Here is a 19,669-nt window from a genome sequence, read left to right on the forward strand (position 1 = left end):
TGTCATAATCAGCATATTGCATAGCATGGTGGCTAAGATCTCTATTTTTTAAGATCTCAGTCACTGCATGCAAACAGTCTAGATTCAAATCCAAACTCTACTACTGTGTGACCTTGGACAAATTACTTTGACTTTCTGTGCCTCAGTTTTATCATAAATATATATATCATATGTATGATATATATATATCAAACATTGGGCTAAGTATGTTACATGAATTAATTTAGTAGTCATAACAGCCATGTGTGACTAACACTTTATATATTTATGATATATATATTTTAATACATATTTTATCATAAAAATATATATCATAAATATATAAAGTGTTAGTCACACATGGCTGTTATGACTACCAAATTAGTTAATTCATGTAACACACTTAGCCCAGTGTTTGATGTTAGAACCCCCACTTGCCTTATTCCTAACATCTTGGCTGCAAACTCAGACCCATGAGGTGTCTGTATGGCAGTTGTATATTGTATATGACATATGTAATTCATCAGTCCTCTATAGTCTAATCACACAAGCTAGTGGTTTGGTTGTCATGATAGTTCTTGGTAGGAATGTGTTTGTCATATAAAAGTTATTTTGGTATGGTGTGGTGAAATGAGTATTCACTGGAGATCTGGTTCTATTGCCGAGTGGCCTTACAAGTGAAATTCTGGAGCCTGGAGAAAAAAACTTTAGCAAGAGTAAGAAATGAATTCTCAGTCACCCTCTTTTCTCTCTCCCTACTAATGCTGTAATGCTATATTTTCCAGCCTATGGTGGGGTGGGTCTATAGTGGTAAGACAGTGTGGTATCATTATATTTAGGAAGAAAATTGTTTCAAGTTTGAAATTTTTTCCAATATTATATTAGAAGTCAACTGGAGAATGATATTTACTTAGTAGTTATTTTAGAAATAACTTTTCTAGGCCCAATCTATTAAGAAATGAAGGAGATCATCCTACAGACAGATCACAGGCAAACCCTCATTTTAGGGAATGACTTTATTCCAGAAGATAATTTCTAAGTTGATAGTTTGGCACTTGAATATTTTTCTATAGAAATTATGTTATTTTTCTGTAGCAATTAGGTTATTGTGTTATTATGCTGAAGTTTCCAGGTTAGCCTACAACCTGTGAAAGGATTGAAATACTGTGATAGAACTGAAATACCGTACTGTACTGAAATACTATTAACTAGCAATTAAAGCAAAATGTAATTGAATAAGAAATAGCACCTTGACACTAAAGCATGAGCATAGCAGAGTTAATTACAGGTTAAGAAGATAGATGGAGGCTTTGGGAGAGTCTTTCTGAAGAGCACTTCTAGGTACTTTCAATGGACATTAGAAGTTGATGGCACAGGTTTTATGTCTAACTTCAGAAAGGATGACTTTTCTTTTCCTTGATACAGCTATCTCACAGTGCTCTTATAACTATCAGCCATTATTAGGGCTATTTGGGGTTCATAAATAGAACAAAGAGACCAAGAAAGGTAATTTTGAGGTAACTGGGCAAGAAATAGCAGAAGAAAGAACATTTAAAGGGGTAATATGGATCCATGTGAGGTTATGTGATTGCTTAAGGTGGAATTGACCACAGTAAATGATAAAAAGAAGAAAAGTGGGGAGCTCAGTTTGTGCGTAGGATCCCAGTGGAAAGAAAGACAGTGAGAAGCTTTCCAGGAAACCCCAGCACCTTTTTAACTTCAATTCACACATTCTTTCTGTACTGTTCCTTTTGTGTTCCCTTTCTCCCCTACTAGACTAGTTCTTGAAGGGCAGATATGGTTTCTTATTCATCCCTCTGCTTCCAACAATAACTAGCACATAGTAGGTGTTAACACACTGTATGTTGAAATGATATCACATATGATCTTTTAGGCCAATTAATGTGCTTCTTATTTGACCAGGGCATTAGAAAGCTGTAAAATTGTGCTCTCAACTAGCATTTGGTACATAGTTCTAGCATTTGAGTTGAATTCAGAATTGTAATGTTATAAATAGAGAACTGAGAACCCATGCATGAATTGTCCGTTTGGTTATAGACCTAGTCTCTTTTCCCCATTTCATGAGTGACATCATCTTTTCTTTCTCCATCTCTCTGTCTTGGAGCATGGTCTGGCCAAACTAATTTTGTAAATACCCTAAAGATGGAGCTTTGGACACTCCCTGATTGACAAAGCTCTCTGGAGCTTTTATACCTTCTCTCAGAAACACATAGTAACATTCTGGTTCCAAAGAGATGGTGTAGAGTTTGACTATTGATTCTTTGTCCTGCTTGCTTGCTTTTGTTCTGTTTGACCCCTTCCCTGATGCATTCCTGCTGGAGACAAACCCACATGCTGAACCATGGGGAACAGTCTGTAATGAAACAACAAGCTGCTCCCAATTTTAAATATTGCATGTTGGGGCAAAGGCAGAGTTCCTTTTCCTCTAAAGCTATAACATTAAAAAAATTCTGTTTGATATTCAGAGTTATTTGATCTGGCAGTTTAACAACTGTTGATGTTTTAATTGCTTCTTTAAAGGATTTCATCTACATTTCTAGGTTTATTTTTATTTTACTCTGAAGGAATGTCAATATTAGCCATCATTTTGCCCAGTAAGTTCCCATTGCAGGATCTTGGAGTAAAATCCAGTAATTACTGGAGCTGGTAACTTAAGACCCTGCTGAGAAATTTGGCAGCTTCACTTTTCCTGAGGAGGCATCTCTCCCCATGGAGCTAGCAATCATTTATTGTTCTGAATCAATTTTAAGTGAGTTTTGTACCTTAGAGACCAGCTTTCTATGTTCCTTTGAAAGCTATTTAAATCATTCTTTTTGGGTGAAAGAGGAATGTTAAGTCATGTTAAGTCACTCTTTTTTTGTATGCACCTAATAAGAGCAACAAAGTAACTCTTAGACAAATGTACAATTGTAAGATGTGCTAGCAAGAAAAATTTAGCAAGTTTATAATCCCTCAGGGTCTTACTTCATTTTTATTTGTCTATTCATAAGTTTATTTCCAAGACCAAATAGAATGTTTTGTTGGCGTGCTACTTACATGTATGCAGCTAGCCATTTGAATTCTCTCAACAAAACTACACACATTCAAAGCAGTTTAGAGATGAAAGGGTCCTCTGAGATCATCTAGTCTAGCCTCTTCTAAATGCTTTAACCTTGTATTTATTAATAAAAGGAGAGCTGGATGAGCTTGCATCTTTGCTCTTCTGTCATATATCCTTTGAATTATTCCAATGAAAAAAATGTTTGTTAAATGCTTAGATGCTGAACCCAGTCTGAAGCAATTTGCTTCAGAAGGCATGGTTCTTAGAGTTTTGGAGCCTACACAGTAAAACCAATAGCACTGACATATTATATATTGTCTGTCACATTTTCTCTTCTGAAGTTTCTTTACACTCCATCATCACCCCTACCAGGCCCCCTCCGCACACACACACACATAAACACACACACACACACACACACATATCTTGGGGAGATGAAAACAAATCTCTTAAACTTTTATTTTTCTGCTTTGAAGCCACACTCCCAGAAAAGACTTTTTTTTAAAAAAAGTATTTTAAAAATTATTAAATTTTTAAAAATTTTTTTTGAAAATTTAAATTAAAAAACTATATTATGGGTACATAATAGTTGTACATATGTATGGGGTACATGTGATATTTTGGTTTTTGTTTTGTTTTGAGACGGACTGTTGCCCAGGCTGGAGTGCAGTGGCGTGATCTCAGGTCACTGCAACCTTTGCCTCCCGGGTTAAAGTGATTCTCCTGCCTCAGTCTCCCGAGTAGCTGGGATTACAGGCGCCCACCACCATGCCTGGCTAATTTTTTTGTATTTTTTTTAAAGACGGGGTTTCCCATGTTGGGCAGGCTGGTGTCGAACTCCTGACCTCAAGTGATCCGCCCCTCTAGGCCTCCAAAAGTGTGAGATTACAGGCGTGAGCCACCACCCCCGGCCACATGTGGTATTTTGATACAGGCACACAATGTGTAATGATCAAATCAGGGTAATTGGAATATCAGTCATCTCAAGCATTTATCTTTTTTGTGTTAGGAATATTCCAAATCAATTCTTCTAGTTATTTTGAAATATACAAGAATTATTGTTAACTATAATTGACCTATTGTACTACCAAACACTAGATATTATTCCTTTTATTCAACTGTATTTTTGTACCCATTAACCATTCCCTCTTCCCCTCTTTTTTTTTTCTTTGAGACACTATCTTGCTCTGTTGTCTAGACTAGAGTGCAGTGGCACATTCATGGCTCACTGCAGCCTTGAACTCTTGGGCTCAAGCAATCCTCCTACCTCAGCCTCCCAAGTAGCTGGGATTACAGGCATGCACCATAATGCCTGGCCATTTCTTTAAATCTCTGTAGAGATAGGGTCTCACTATTTGCCCAGGCTGGTCTCAAACTCCTGGACTTAAGTGATCTTCCCACTTCGGCCTTCCGAAGTGTTGGGATTACAGGCATGAGCCATCGTGCCTGGCCCCCTCTTCTACTCTTTATCCACCCTCCCCACTAGCCTTCCCAGCCTCTGGTAACCAGATCATTTTACTCTATCACCATGAGTTCAATTTTTTTTTGTAGCTTCCACATGTGAGTGAGAATGTGCAATGTTTGTCTTTCTGTGCCTGACTTATTTCATTTAACATGGTGATCTCCAGTTCCATCCATGTTGTTGCAAATGACAGGATCTCATTCTTTTTTATAGCTGAATAGGACTCCTTTTTGTTATAAGTACCACATCTTCTTTATCCATTTGTCTGTTGATGAACAGTTAGGTTGCTTCCAAATCTTGGCTATTGTGAATAGTGCTGCAATAAACATGGGAGAGCAGATATTTCTTCAATATACTGATTTCATTTCTTTTACACATATACCCAACAGTGAGATTGCTGGATCATATGGTAGTTCTATTTTTAGTTTTTTGAAGAACCTCTATACTGTTCTTCATAGTGGCTGTACTAACTTACATTCCCACAGCAGTGTACAAGAATTGCCCTTTCTCTTTTACCCTTGTCAGGGATAATCAAAGGTTAAATGAAAGGACCAGCCAACTGATTGATGGGAGGGACACTGGTTAGGATAGTTGAGGAGAAGTGGACTTAGCCACAAGGTGTATTATTCAGCTTTCCCATATTTTTCCTTCCTTTACTCTATCTCCTCAACACTGGGAATATAAGACTTTTCACTCATAGACTTAATGTCCAACAAACTTTTTGGGAAATGGAAGCAATTACTAGTTCAGCTGTCTGGTTCTTCCTCTGAATTTTTTTTTTTTAATGCCGAAAACCCAGAAACTTCCAAATGAATCTCCTGGCCTTTTCTACTGGTTATTTCTTGTGCAGCTTCACTAGGCTTAAAAGGTCAGCCTCTTCATTGGGCCATGATGTTATGATTGTAACTCTAGACTATTTTCTTCTTGGCATCCCTTCTCAATAGATAGCACTCAGTGATTGAAAGTGTAACAGATTGCTACTGTGTGAGGAATTTCAGAATATAAACTATGGTAGTTAGAAAATGATATGGATATAGTATATGTTAGAACCCGTCTTTGCCTGGATCACTTTTCATGAGTCTTTTTCTGTTGATGTTGACCCGTTCTAGCCCCTCCGAACCTAAGGTTTTTGTTTTTGTTTTCACTTGACTTAACTAGACCATAAGCTCCATGAGGGAGGAGACTATCCTGTTTGCCTTATTCACTGCTATAAATTTCCATATCTCATATGCCTAATATAATACTTGGCACATAGTAGGCATCCAATAAATATTTACTGACTGAATTAAATAGTCAGTAGTCTTGTCCTAGTTCCCGTATTTGCTACAGTAAGAGCCCTCTTGCTGAACTCTGCCTGGTTATTGATGAAACCAGGTCATCTATGTCTTCTGTTTATCTTTGAGTATAGACTATACCCCAGCAACTTCCAACAACCTTCTGGCAGCAATATTTTTCTGATTGCCCACTCTTAAAACTCTTCAAGTGCCCTCTTCTCACACCAGATTTCTGTCCTAACTAACCATCCTACGTCATTTCTGACAAAATCTTTCCTTTATCTATTGTTCAAGATTATATGAGTTCAAAAATTTCTTACGATGTACTGTACTTGCAGTCAGTCTCCTACTTGATGTCCTATAGAACACAAAGTTACATTTGCATAATAAGGGCCACCTCCTTTCTATCTCCCAGAAGGGCTACCCCAAATCATAAATAGTAAGAGGAATCTTTTGAGCACAAGGACAAAAAGAAGCAGGATAACTCCATTTTTTGAAAAGAAAATTTTAAAATATCACATTGAGATGATGGTGTGAAAGTACTTTCCTGAAGTTAAATTTGCAAGTGTCTGCCTTCTTCTCTCCTCTGGGTATCACACTGACACATCTGCCATTCGAATTGGATTTTGTGAAGCTTTTGAATTGTGAGTGACACAGAATGCTGTGGCTTTCAGAATGTCTTTGTATTGTTCCCTCCTGAGAGCTAGGATGATGGGATATATTATGGTGGTGCTGTCTGTATTCTCAATCATCAGCGCAAATTGACAGCAGCACCATAAAGTCAGGTTTATTGGCACGCGTGCACGCACACACACATACACGCACGCACACACATACACACCCCTACAGGTTGTTAGAGTACAAGTTCTACAGTATTTATGTAAAAGAAAAAAGAATACTTTTAGCTAAACGTAATGTCTTTTCTTCTCTGTATTTCCATGCATACCTGAGAACATAAAAGATATTCAATAAGTATGTGGAAAAGTTAAAATTGTTGCCTTGATGACAGTTTCATTTCTCAGGCTGTAGAATAATTCAAGCAAGGAATTGCTACTCTGGTCATAATTCTGAAAAGGAAGAAAGAACTGCTTGGTGAGATAGTGATGATAGGCACCTTGGGAGAAAGTGAGTGTGTCATACTAGAGTTTGTAATAATGAAGGAAGTAAGTGCTGCTGATGGTTCCACATCTATTATAGGCTTTACAAAAGCATATTTCAGAAATTAGGGAAATGAAAGATAGGTATGTCCCCCTTGTCTTGATATACTACATTTTTTTAAATGATAAGAGGCTTTCAAAGTTGAATACTCCTAATTTCTTGGCAATAGAGAAGGAAAGGGAGTATCTAAAACAGTCATATTCAACATTTCCTGTGCCCTAACACACACCAGAAAGGACATGACATATGCCTAGTAATAGTGCTCACTACAGAAGGTACAATAACACACATCACAATTTATAGAGAAGCATATGTATTTTGAATCCCCACCCAAAGGGCCATTCTCCTCTCCCTAGCCTCTACACATGGTGTCATTGTTTTGTGTGACTGCACAGGAAGTTATTTGATAAGTTCAGATGTGACATGTTAAAAGGAAGAACCTAGAACCAAGTACACATTCTAGACAAGGACATTATTCTATAAATAGTATCAGGAAAGTCAGAGCCTTGTAAAAAAAAATGTTAAGGACCACTAAATGTGTACATATATTTAGTTCTGTTTAGAGCAAGAACAAGGAAGAGCTAGGCCTACTTGGCATCCTGTTAAAAGTGACAGCTGGCAGAACTATTCAACCAGACTTCTGTATTAATGATATTGATGTTCAAACAGAAAAGGGTGAATGGAACATGGTTAAGAAGGAATTTTTGAAGCTCAAGTTAGATGAGAAATTAGAAAAGAGATATCTATTCCCTTTGAGTCTCTAATCCCAGAAGAACTAGATCTAAGAGAAAAGAAAAAAAAATCTAGAGAAGAAAAACTAGATCTATGAGAAAGAAGCTGCAGAGATAGTCACAAAACTACTACTCCCAGTTTTTGAGATGTCATAAAGGGTAAATTCCAAAAGATAAAAGATGGACAAATTCCCTGATTTTCTCAGAGAGGAAGGTTGGGAGTGATTTGCTGAAGCTATGGATCTGTACACTTGACAATTACTCCCAGCATAATTCTAAAATGTATTTTCAATGAGATGCTTTATAGACATTCATTAAAGAAAATAATGGCCACTGGGACCTCCAAGTTGGTTCTCTAAGAAGTCATTAAGAAAATAATATTTATGTGTCATTTCTTGATAGGATCACTAAACTAGACTTTAAGGGCAAGACATCATAAAATAGGGATCCAGTAAGATAATTAATCCTATATCTTGTGTTATCCTTGTAGAGACCAGGACATAAGAGAAGACTGATAGCAGTTGGAGGAATTTACCTTGGTTGAACTCTGTGTATTCATTTCAATGTAGAGGGAATTACTGAGTAGCTTACCATAGAGCTCTGTCCTGTTCAACACTTTCATCAATAACTTGGACAAAGATATAAAAAGTATATATATATATATATAATTATTGGATTATACAAAATTAGAAACAACAGATAACATATGCATGACAAATGGCTTGTCTGGTATCAACCAAGGCAAGGTACCATACTTCAGGAATCACTGGAAAATATTGCATCTGGAGGAAGGTTTTACTTAGGGGCTGAAAACCATATCTGATGAAGAATGGGGATTTTTTAGCTTTGCAAATAAAAGACTTTAGTGGGACATGGTAGTGGTCTTTAAATATTAGAAAAAATGGTATATGTAGGAGAAATTAGAATGATGAGGGAATAGTTGGAACTGAGTGGAGGATATATAGGAAGGAAGATTTTGGCTTAGTTTAGGACAATTTTCTAACATTTTTTTCTGTTTAACATAGTAGTGGTCTGTTTAATAAGTTAGTGAGCTCCTTCCCTATCAATAGAGGAATTCAAGCAGAAGCTAGACAACCATCTTTTGGAGTGATTGTTAATGTGATTCTTTCCTTAGAGGAAGATTTAGACAAGATGAGTTCTGAAATCTCTTCCAACTCTGAGATTTTATGATTACTATCTCTACTGGCAGTTTTTCTTGTTAACAACTGTGTCCATCATAATTTTCAAAGGGAAAGTCAGTAATCCTGAAAATTACATCACAGATATCCTGTTTATAAAACTTTTCCCCCCAAATGTTTATTTTCCATCTTCTCATATCTTCCTTCCTTTCTTTCCTTCCCATTACCCATTTAAAGGCATATTCAATTAGTAATACACCTGTAGTGATAATCAGAGCCCTACTTATTTATACCTTCTACAATTATTTGGGTTTTTTTGTTTGTTGGTTGGTTTGTTTTGTTTTGTTTTGTTTGAGACAGTGTCTCACTCTGTTGCCCAGGCTAGAGTGTAGGAGCTTGATCTCATCTCAGCTCACAGCAACCTCTGCTTCCAGGTTCAAGGGATTCTCGTGTCTCAGCCTCCCAAGTAGCTGGGATTACAGGTGTGTACCACCACGCCCAGCATTTTTGTGTTTTTAGTAGAGACAGGGTTTCACCATGTTAGACAGGCTGGTGTGGAACTCCTGAGCTCAAGTGATCCGTTCACCTTGGCCTCCCAAAGTGTTGGGATTACAGGCGTGAGCCACCGCGCCCGGCCCTTCTACAATTATTTGTACCATCAGAATGAGCTATAAATTTGCTTGCTCTTTTCTTTTGTATGTATGTGTTTGGAGAAAAAAACTTTACAACATTTTTAACAGAATAAGTCAATATTTATTTTGAAAAAGTGATATACTGCTTAGTCTCCACCATCCACCCAGTAAAACAATCTGTCTTCTAGAAGTATCAAGTACTGTTTTATCATTTAGGATGTCACCTGAAAAGATTAAGGATAGTCCAAGCATTCTAGTATCCCCTATTAAATGACTATGGATTTATCTCTTGTCTATAAACGTATACAATTTTTCTTGAACCTTTTTTACCCATTTCTATTTTCAGCCTAAATCATTTCTAAGTATAATGATGATAATGAACTCATAAATTTTTGATAAAGTAGTATGCATTTTCTTCCACACAAGTGTTTGGCATTGTTGCATATCTCTTTTAAGTGGATAATTCAACAGTTATTAAGCCCCTACTATGTGTTAGGCAGTTTTATATCTATTATTAAAGTGCTTATGAAGTAGATGGAATTACTCATAGATTTGGGTTTTTTTAATTAATTATTTTTTTTTTTAGAAACAAGGTCTTGCTACGTTGCCCAGGCTGGCCTCAAACTCCTGGATTCAAGTAATCCTTCTGCCTCAGCCTCCTGAGTATCTGGGGCTATAGGCACACTCCATTGCACCCACCTACTAATAGGTTTTAACTTTGGTTTTCAGTGGGTTATCTATAATATGCTAGGTAAAGGAGAGAGAGAGAGAGAGAGAGAGAGTGTGTGTGTGTGTGTGTGTGTGTGTGTGTGTGTGTGTGTGTGTGTGTGTGTTTCAGTCTTCCTAGGGGTTTACTGTACTTCTTGAATCTTTAATCTATACATTTATATCTTTGACCAAATTTGGGGAAATTTTGACCATTTCTTCAAATATTTTTCTACCCCATTTTCTCTCTCCTCTCCTTCTAAGATTTCAATTACATATGTGTTTGAACCTTAGCTTTCATCTTACAGGTCCCTGAGGCTCTGCTTATTTTTTCCAATCTTTTTCCTTCCTATTGTCTAAGTTGGACTTTTCTGTGAATCTATCACGTTCACTGACTATTTTGTCATTTCCATTCTGCTAAGTCTGAGGGTGAACTTTTATCTCAAATATTGGATTTTTCTGTTTCAATTTTTTCTTTCTTTTTCAGTTACTATTTCTTTGTTGAGATTTTCTGTCTTTTACTTTATGCAGATATGTTTTCCTTTATACGCTGAAGCATAATTAACAATAGCTGCCTTAAAATCTTGTCTGCTGATTTCAATGTATGTATCACTTCAGAGTTGGTCTCTGTTAGAATGAGTAACATTTTCTAGTTTTTTTCATATGTTGAATGTGAAAAAACATATTGTATACTGGATACTATGAAAGATTGTATACTACATACTTTGTATTATATACTGGGTACTATAAAAGATTGTGTTATAGACCCTCTGGATTCTGTTACATTCCTCAAAAGAGTATTTTTTTAAGCAAGCATTTAACTTGGCTGAACTCAAATTATAAACCCTCTCTCCCCTGCAGTGGGAAGTAGCTCAAATCTATGTTCAGAACTTTTATGTTTAGCTGGGCTGCTTGTAGTCTGCCCTGCACATGTACAGTTCAAGTGTTAGCCAGCGATTCAGACAGAATCTATATCCAGAATTTAGGATCACCTCTGGCTTTCTGCTTTCTAGGATTTCTCCCTCACTTTCCAATAGCTGTAGATGCCCACTCTGTCCTCCAGTTCTTTAAACCAGTGGGAATGCAGATTTCTATCTGAGTTCTACACACTCCATGAGATGCTAAAAGCCATTTTTAGAAACAGAAAACTCACTCAATTTCCCTTATTTTAAATGTCAACTCCCCTCTCATGTGTTCCATCTGTATGCTTGTTTTATTCTCCAGTGCTTTCAGGTAGCTTTTTACTTTTTCTTTTATCCAGAGTTACAGGCACACCTCAGAGATATATTGTGGGTTTGTTTCCAAGCAACCAGAATAAAACTAATATCATAATAAAATGAGTCATATGAATTTGGGGGTTGCCCAGTAAGTATAAAAGTTATGTTTACATGATACTATAGTCTGTTAAGTGTGCAATAGCAATATGTCCAAAAAAACAAACTACATACCTTAACTCAAAAATAGTTTGTTGCTAAAAAATGCTACCAATCAGCTGAGCCTTCAGTCATAATCTTTTTGCTGGTGAAGAGTCGTGCCTTGATGTTGATGGCAGCTGACTGCTCGGGGCAGTGGTTGCTGAAGGTTGAGGTGGCTGTGGCACTTTCTTAAAATAAGACAACAATAAAGTTCGCTGCATCAATTGACTATTGTTTTCACAAAAGATTTCACTGTAACGTGATGCTGTTTGATAGCATTTTAACTATAGTAGAACTTCTTTCAAAATTGTGTTAAATCCTCTCATTGTCATTCCAACAGTGTTCACAGCATCTTCACCAGGATTAGATCCTATCTCAAGAAACGACTTCCTTTGCTAATCCATAAGAAGCAACTTCTTATGTGTTCAAGTTTTATCATGAGATTGCAGCAATTGAGTCACATCTTTGGGCTTCAGTTATAATTCTAGATCTCTTGCTGTTTCCACCACATTTGCAGTTACTTCCTCCACTGAAGTCTTGAACCCCTCAAAGTCATCAATGAGGGTTAGACGCAACTTCTTCTAACCTTGTATTAATGTTGATATTTTGACCTGCTTCCATGAGTCATGAATATGCTTAATGGATCTAGAATGGTGAATCCTTTCTGGAAGGTTCTTTACTTACTCTGCCCCAATACATCAGAGGAATTACCATCTATGGCAGCTGTGGCCTTATGAAATGTATTTCTTGAATAATAAGACATGAAGGTTGAAATTACTCCTTGATCCACAGGCTGCAGAATGGGTGTTGTGTTAGTAGACATGAAAACATTTATCTCCTAGTACATCTCCATCAGAGCTCTTGGGTGACCAGGCATATTGTCCATGAGCAGTAGTATTTTGAATGGAATCTTTTATTTTTCTGAGCAGTAGGTCTCAATACTGGACTTAAAATTTCAATAAACCATGCTGCAAGCAGATATGCTGTCATTCAGGCTTTTTTGTTCCATTTCTAGAGCTGAGGCAGGATGGATTTAACATAATTCTTTTTCTTTTCTTTTTTTTTTTTTTTTTGAGACAGGGTCTCACTCTGTTGCCCAGGCTGGAGTATAGTGGCATTATCTTGACTCACGCAACTTCTGCCTCCCAGGTTCAAGCAATTCTCCCACCTCAGCCTCCTGAGTAGCTGGGACTACAGTCACACACCATCACACTCGTCTAATTTTTGTATTTTTAGTAGGGACAGGGTTTCACCATGTTGGCCAGGCTGGTTTTCAACTCCTGATCTCAGGTGATCTAACTGCCTCAGCCTCCCAAAGTGCTGGGATTACAGGCATGAGCCACCACACCCGGTGAAGATTTAGCATAATTCTTAAGGGCCTGTGATTTTTGGAAAGGTAAATTAGAATTGGCTTCAACTTAAAATCACCAGCTGCTTTAACCCCTAATAACAAGAGTCAGCCAATCCTTTGAAACTTTGAAATCAGGCATTGACTTCTCCTCTCTAGCTATGAAAGTCCTAGATAGCATCTTCTTCCAATACAGGATTATTTTGTCTGCATTGAAAATCTGATGTTTAATGTAGCAACCTTCATCAATTGTCTTGGCTAGATTTTTCTGGATAACCTGCTGCAGCATCTATGTCAGCACCTACTGCTTCATGTTGCACTTTTGTTACTGGAGACAGATTCTTTCCTTAAGCCGCAAGAACCAACCTTTGCTACCTTCCAACTTTTCTTCTGCAGCTTCCTCACTTCTTTCAGCCTTCACAGAGTTGAAGAGAGTTAGGGCCTTGCTCTGGATTAGGCTTTGGCTTAAAGAAATGTTGTAGCTGGTTTGATCTTCTATCCAGGCCACTAAAACTTTCTCCATATCGGCAATAAGGCTGTTTTTCTTTCTTATCATTTGTGTGTTCATTGGAGTAGTGCTTTAAATTTCCTTCAAACACTTTTCCTTTGCATTCATAACTTGGCTAACTCCTTGGTACAAGAGGCCTAGCTTTAAGCCTATCTCGGCTTTCAACATGCCTTTCTCACTAAACTTAACGATTTCTAGCTTTTGATTTAACATGAGAGTTGTGCCACTCTCCCTTTCACTGACACTTAGAAGTGATTGTAGGTTTATTAATTGGCCTATTTTCAATGTTGTTGTGTCTCTGGGAATAGGAAGGCCTGAGGAGAGGCAAAGAGATGGGGGAACAGCTGGTTGTTGGGTAAGTCAGAATACACACAATATTTTTTAATTAAGTTTTCTCTCTTATATGGGTGCAGTTTGTAGTGACCCAAAACAATTACCCTAGTAACATCAAAGATCACTGATCACAGCTCATTATAACAGATATCATAATTATGAAAACTTTTGAAATATTGTGAGAAATACCAAAATGTGACACAGAGACCCAAAGTGAGCACATGCTGTTAGAAAACCAACACCAATAGATTTGCTCAAGGTAGGTTTGCCACAAACATCTAATTTGTTTAAAACGCAGTATGTGTGAAGCATATTAAAGCTACTGTCAGATCAAGCCTCTTGCAGATAATAACTGTATTGATCTGACAGGAGCTTACATGGCCATGATTAGAAGTGGAGCCATCCTGTAATATATCTACTCAACATGTTTTAGAAGAGAATACTGAGGCCCAGAAAGATTAAGCGACCTTCCCAGTGTCACATGACTAGAAAATAATAGAGCTAAAGTTTAAATATAGGCTTTCTGGCTCCTGATCCAGAGCATTTCCACATGTTACTTTTTATAATTTACCTTTTAATTTTATTTTTAATTGACATGTTATAATTATACATATTTTGGGGGTCCATAGTGATGTTTCAATACATATAATGTATAGTGATCAGATCAGGGTAATTAGCATATCTGTCCTCTCAAACATTTATCATTTCTTTGTGTTGGGAAATTCAGCATCCCCCTTCTAGCTATTTGGAACTATATAATAAATTATTATTAACTATAGACATCTTAACGGTGGTATAGAAGACTAGAACTTACTCCTCCCAGCTATAATTTTATATCCTTTAGATATCAGTAATATTCTTTCTCAGGCATTATTCTCCCAGATGGGTAAGTCCTGATTCTTTTGTCTCTCCTCATATAATACCAATTACTCCCATTACCTTAATGAGTTTTCCTTGTAGATGTCCACTAAACATTTTCCAACTTCCTTCTAATCTTTTTTAGGTTTCCACTGTTTTCCAGTATTGGCTTTCATTACATAAAAAGAGGAAAGTGTCTCTTGATTTCTTTCCAATGACCTTTTTGAATTATATCCCAGCAACATCTTCAGGGAATGGTTTTTGAGGCTTTAAATATGATTTCTTTGTTAAAAGTAGAAGCTTAGAAACTGTAATCTTACATAATTCAGATTATTCTCCTCCTAAATATGTTACTTTATTCACCCTTATAGGAAATTTTACCTTTTCTATCCTCTCATAAGTCTCATTAGGCCTTTCTTTTTGTAATGTTTCCCATTTGTTGTAGCCTTTCATATAGAAAGAACTTTATGTCCTCTGTAATCTTAAACCCATGTTCTTCCAGATCACTAGCAAAAATGTTAAGATAGACTGTGTGGTATTGTGAATTAAAAAAGCATCATGGACCAGGCGCGGTGGCTCATGCCTGTAATCCCAGCACTTTGGGAGGCCAAGGTGGGTGGATCACCTGAGGTCGGGAGTTCAAGACCAGCCTGACCAACATGGCGAAACCCCATCTCTACTAAAAATACAAAATTAGCCGGGTGTGGTGGCACATCCCTGTAATCCCAGCTACTCGGGAGGCTGAGGCAGGAGACTCACTTGAACCCAGGAGGCGGAGGTTGCAGTGAGCCAAGATCGTGCCATTGCAATCCAGCCTGGGCAACAAGAGCGAAAAAAAAAAAAGCATCATGACAGGTGTACATATATGCAAAAACTATTTATTGAGTGCCTACTCTGCACTGGTCACTTTGCTGGGTGCTGAAGGTATAATAATGAGCAAGACAGACATAGTCCTTGCCTTCCTAGGGCTTTTATGGTCCAGTAGAGAAGTCAGACAACTAAACAAGCAATAAAAAATAAAAACTAAGTGTGGACATGGGAGGAAGTGCAGGGTGCTATGGAAGCACGTAACAGTAGAATCTAACCTGTCTGGGGCGGGAGAGGGCAGAGAAAACCCTCCAGATTAAGACAGATTCTGATCCCAGTTCTGCTGCAACCTTATGTGGCTTTCTTGTCGGTGCTCCTCTCTTGGCCTCAGTTTTCTCTGAGTAAATAAAGTTGTTGAACAAGATAGTCTTCAACATCTTTTCCAATTAGTTAATTCTGCAGTTTCAGTAGTGATGCATGATACCGTTAAGTGCAGACTTTGAAGGCAGATACACCTGAGTTTTATACTCTCTCGACCCCAACTTCCACATCTACAAAATGGGAATAATGACTACTTCAGGGTACTGGTATGAGAATTAAATGAGATCAGTTATGCAAGGCTGAAGTTACAGAGAGGACACAGATTAAACATGAGCCATTTTCCTTTTATGCCAATTTCAATAAATAAGCAACTTAAAGCATTATCTTTGAAGTAAAACATTTATTATAAAGTAGAATGCAACGTTTATATGAATTTTAAGATAAACCAAAGAAATTTTCTATTTTGGTACATGCCACCAGACATTAGTAACATTAATCTCTACTGTTCTTTTTTTTTTTTTTTTTTTTTTTTGAGACGGAGTCTCACTCTGTCACCCAGGCTGGAGTGCAGTGGCGCGATCTTGGCTCACTGCAAGCTCTGCCTCCCGGGTTCACGCCATTCTCCTGCCTCAGCCTCCCAAGTAGCTGGGACTACAGGCACCCGCCACCACGCCCGGCTAATTTTTTTGTATGTTTTTAGTAGAGACAGGGTTTCACTGTGTTAGCCAGGATGGTCTCAATCTCCTGATCTTGTGATCCACCCGCCTCGGCCTCCCAAAGTGCTGGGATTACAGGCGTGAGCCACCACACCCGGCCTAATCTCTTTTCTTATGGGTACTTTATTGAAAAATTTGAGAAGCACTGTGTGAAAGTACCTAGTATGGTGCCTGGTATAATAATACTCTTTATTGAGTTCATAATAGGAACTCAATAAATGATAGATCTGGGGAGTGCTCATCATTACATTTTTTAATATCTAGATCAGTCTCCTTTGTTTATTGTCCTTAAAATTGTTCTCCTGGTCCTACAACTTCTGTGTTAACTCATTTTTTTGTTGTTGTTGTTGAGATAGAGTCTTGCTCTGTCACCCAGGCTGGAGTATAATGGCACGTCTCAGCTCACTGCAACCTCCACCTCCCGGGTTCAAGCAATAATCCCTGCCTCAGCCTCCCGAGTAGCTGGGATTACAGGTGCCTGCCACCACACCTGGCTAATTTTTGTATTTTTAGTAGAGACGGGGTTTTGCCATGTTGGCCAGGCTGGTCTCAAACTCCTGACCTCAGGTGATCCACCCACCTAGGCTTCCCAAAGTGCTGGGATTACAGGCATGAGCCACCATGCCCGGCCGCTCATTTTTGTTTGTAAGCAATCTGTGGTATATGACCTTAAAAAAACTTGAAAACCCAAATAAATATCATCCATTGGTTTCCCATTGACCATATTCTTATTTACTTCCTCAAAAACTCTTGCAAATGAATCAAGACATGATTTCTACTTACAGAAAATAGGTTGCCTTTCCCCACTGAGTTATGTTGCCATTTACATATTTGGTCTTATAGATTAAGGTGTTTGAACTCAAAACTAGGAGAGTATTTTAGAACCACAGTAAGCTTATAAAGCCCAACTCCTAGTGTTTGTGTTAACAGGTAAAGGAATATCATGGATAAATATTATCCACAGATGATCCTCAAACCTTCCTTTACCTATCGTTTGAACACATTTCTTCATCAGAAACTATATACCAGAGGAAGAAAATTGACTAAAATCACTTTTCATCTACATCAAGTAATCCCAGATTAACTCTATTTTATGCTAATCGCCTCTTCATTCCAAATTTCTATGGCACTTAGATTATCAATTTTTTAATAATAATATTGTTAATATAATATGTTTTAAGTCAGTCTCTGGTTTTCATATACCTTGTGTTTTGCTACCCCCAAAAGATCACAAACTCCTACGTAAGCATGAAATATATTTTGAGGTTCTCTTTTTATATATATCTTATTCTATAATGTCTGGTAATTTACAAGTTCTGTACAATGTAGATGCTTAGTAACCATTTGTTAACTAATTTTATACCTTCTCATGGGTATAACTACTTTGAAAAAGGCAAAAGAATATCAGCAGGAAAGAAATGGAAGGGAATTCATGATGGCAAGTACTGGTGATGAAATTATGCCTAAACTGAATTTATTTCCCAAATTCCAGAATAGGCTAATCCATCCTTTCTGCTAAAGGAAGCTGAATACCCCATCCCCTGCTTTTTTTTTTTTTTTTTTTTTTTTCCAGACAGAGTCTTCCTCTGTCACCCAGGCTGGAGTGCAGAGGCACAATCTCAGCTCACTACAACCTCCGTCTGTCGGGTTCAAGAGATTCTCCTGCCTCAGCCTCCCAAGTAGCTGGGACCATAGGTGTGTGCCACCACACCAGGCTAATTTTTGTATTTTCAGTAGAGATGGGGTTTCGCCATATTGGCCAGGCAGGTCTCCAACTCCTGACCTCAAGTGATCTGCCTGCCTCAGCCTCCCAAAGTGCTGGGATTACAGGTGTGAACCACCGTGCCCGGCCAGGAAGCTGAATACCTATTATAAGTGAAATGTAACTTGAACTCTCTGCAAAGAAATTGTTATTCTGAAATCATCTGCCTTACTATGAAGTGACAGTTCTCTAAGAAATGTGTTACCTTTTTCCTAAAAAGAGAACCTTCACTCCTTTAGCAGTCAAGTGAGTTAATTTCCTTTCAGTTTTATCAAAACCATTTCCAAACTCCAGCTTAGCTTTTCCTGTGAAGACAGTCAACTCTGGTGGTATCCGTACACACAGACTGGTTTGAAAAAAAATCTCTGGGAAAATTAAACCTAGGGTTCTTTTGAAAGTAACTGATTGGATTCACTATAAATAAATTTATTTTTGACAGATAACTGAGAGTATTTGTGACTGGCTAACAGCAGGAACTAGAGTAGACTTCGTAGTCTAGCAGGAGTTAAAACTTGAGAAATGGCCACTGATGATGAAAACCCATAGCTGATAGATAAGTAACCATTTGGAGTACTACAAAAGAAAAGCCACTGATAATTTATTGTATTTTTTAATCCCCATTACAAAAAAAAAAAACTCTTGGGTGCATTTATAAACACACAGACACTAAACATGACTGGGATCACACCTGGGCTATTCAGCTTCTCCAAACTCATTAACTGAAAAGATATAGATTAATTGGAGGGAGTTCAGAGAAGAGTAACAAAAATGATTAAGGGGCCAGAGGGATTGATTTATGAGCAAAGATTAAAAGAATTTTGTCTATACAATTTAACTAAGTGATGACTAAGGGGGAAGAGGGTGGGGATACAACTGTCTGAAGGGTATAAACACCAAGGAGAGAGGAGAATAATTTACTATGCAACATGAGAATATAACTAGGGCTAATAAGCTATAATTACCCAAAGGAATAACAGAATACATATTTCAGGGAAACTCAGAACCATGAGACCGCCAACTTGTTTCTCAAGGAGACACTGGCAGATACTTATAACATTAGTCTCATCCAGATTAACAAGTATGTGGTGTGAAACAATCATTTTATGCCATTGAGCTCTCTCTTTCCCCACCCTCTTCAACAGTCTTGCTTTTTACATTATTGTGGCATAGTTCAAGTCCAGCCTAGTGCACCGGTCTATATAGTTTTATCTTTGTTAGTGCCGATAAGTCAAAGTTTAATTCCAATAGTGGCCATACAAGAGCCCTTCCTTTTGGATTTACTGTGAATTTAATTGAAAAGCATCAAAATAAGGAATCATATCTGAAGAGGAGAAAATCTTGGATTCTGCTTCAGAAGTCATAGTATTTGTGTTTTGGATCTCCAATAATAAACTTTCAAATTATATTTAATGTCTAGAAAAGTTCAATTTTAGCATTATTGCAAGAAAAAAGACACTAAA

At 37.6% G+C, this 19,669-nt stretch overlaps 1 protein-coding gene across 6 annotated transcripts in view; it reads left to right on the forward strand.

Annotated features, from left to right (window-relative positions):
• The window catches only part of EDA (ectodysplasin A), a 423,360-nt gene that overhangs the window by 284,045 nt on the left and 119,646 nt on the right, over window positions 1-19,669 (forward strand). The window lies entirely within an intron of this gene.

Source organism: Homo sapiens, chromosome X (assembly GCF_000001405.40).
Source record: "Homo sapiens chromosome X, GRCh38.p14 Primary Assembly".
In the NCBI taxonomy this organism is placed as follows: domain Eukaryota; kingdom Metazoa; phylum Chordata; class Mammalia; order Primates; family Hominidae; genus Homo; species Homo sapiens.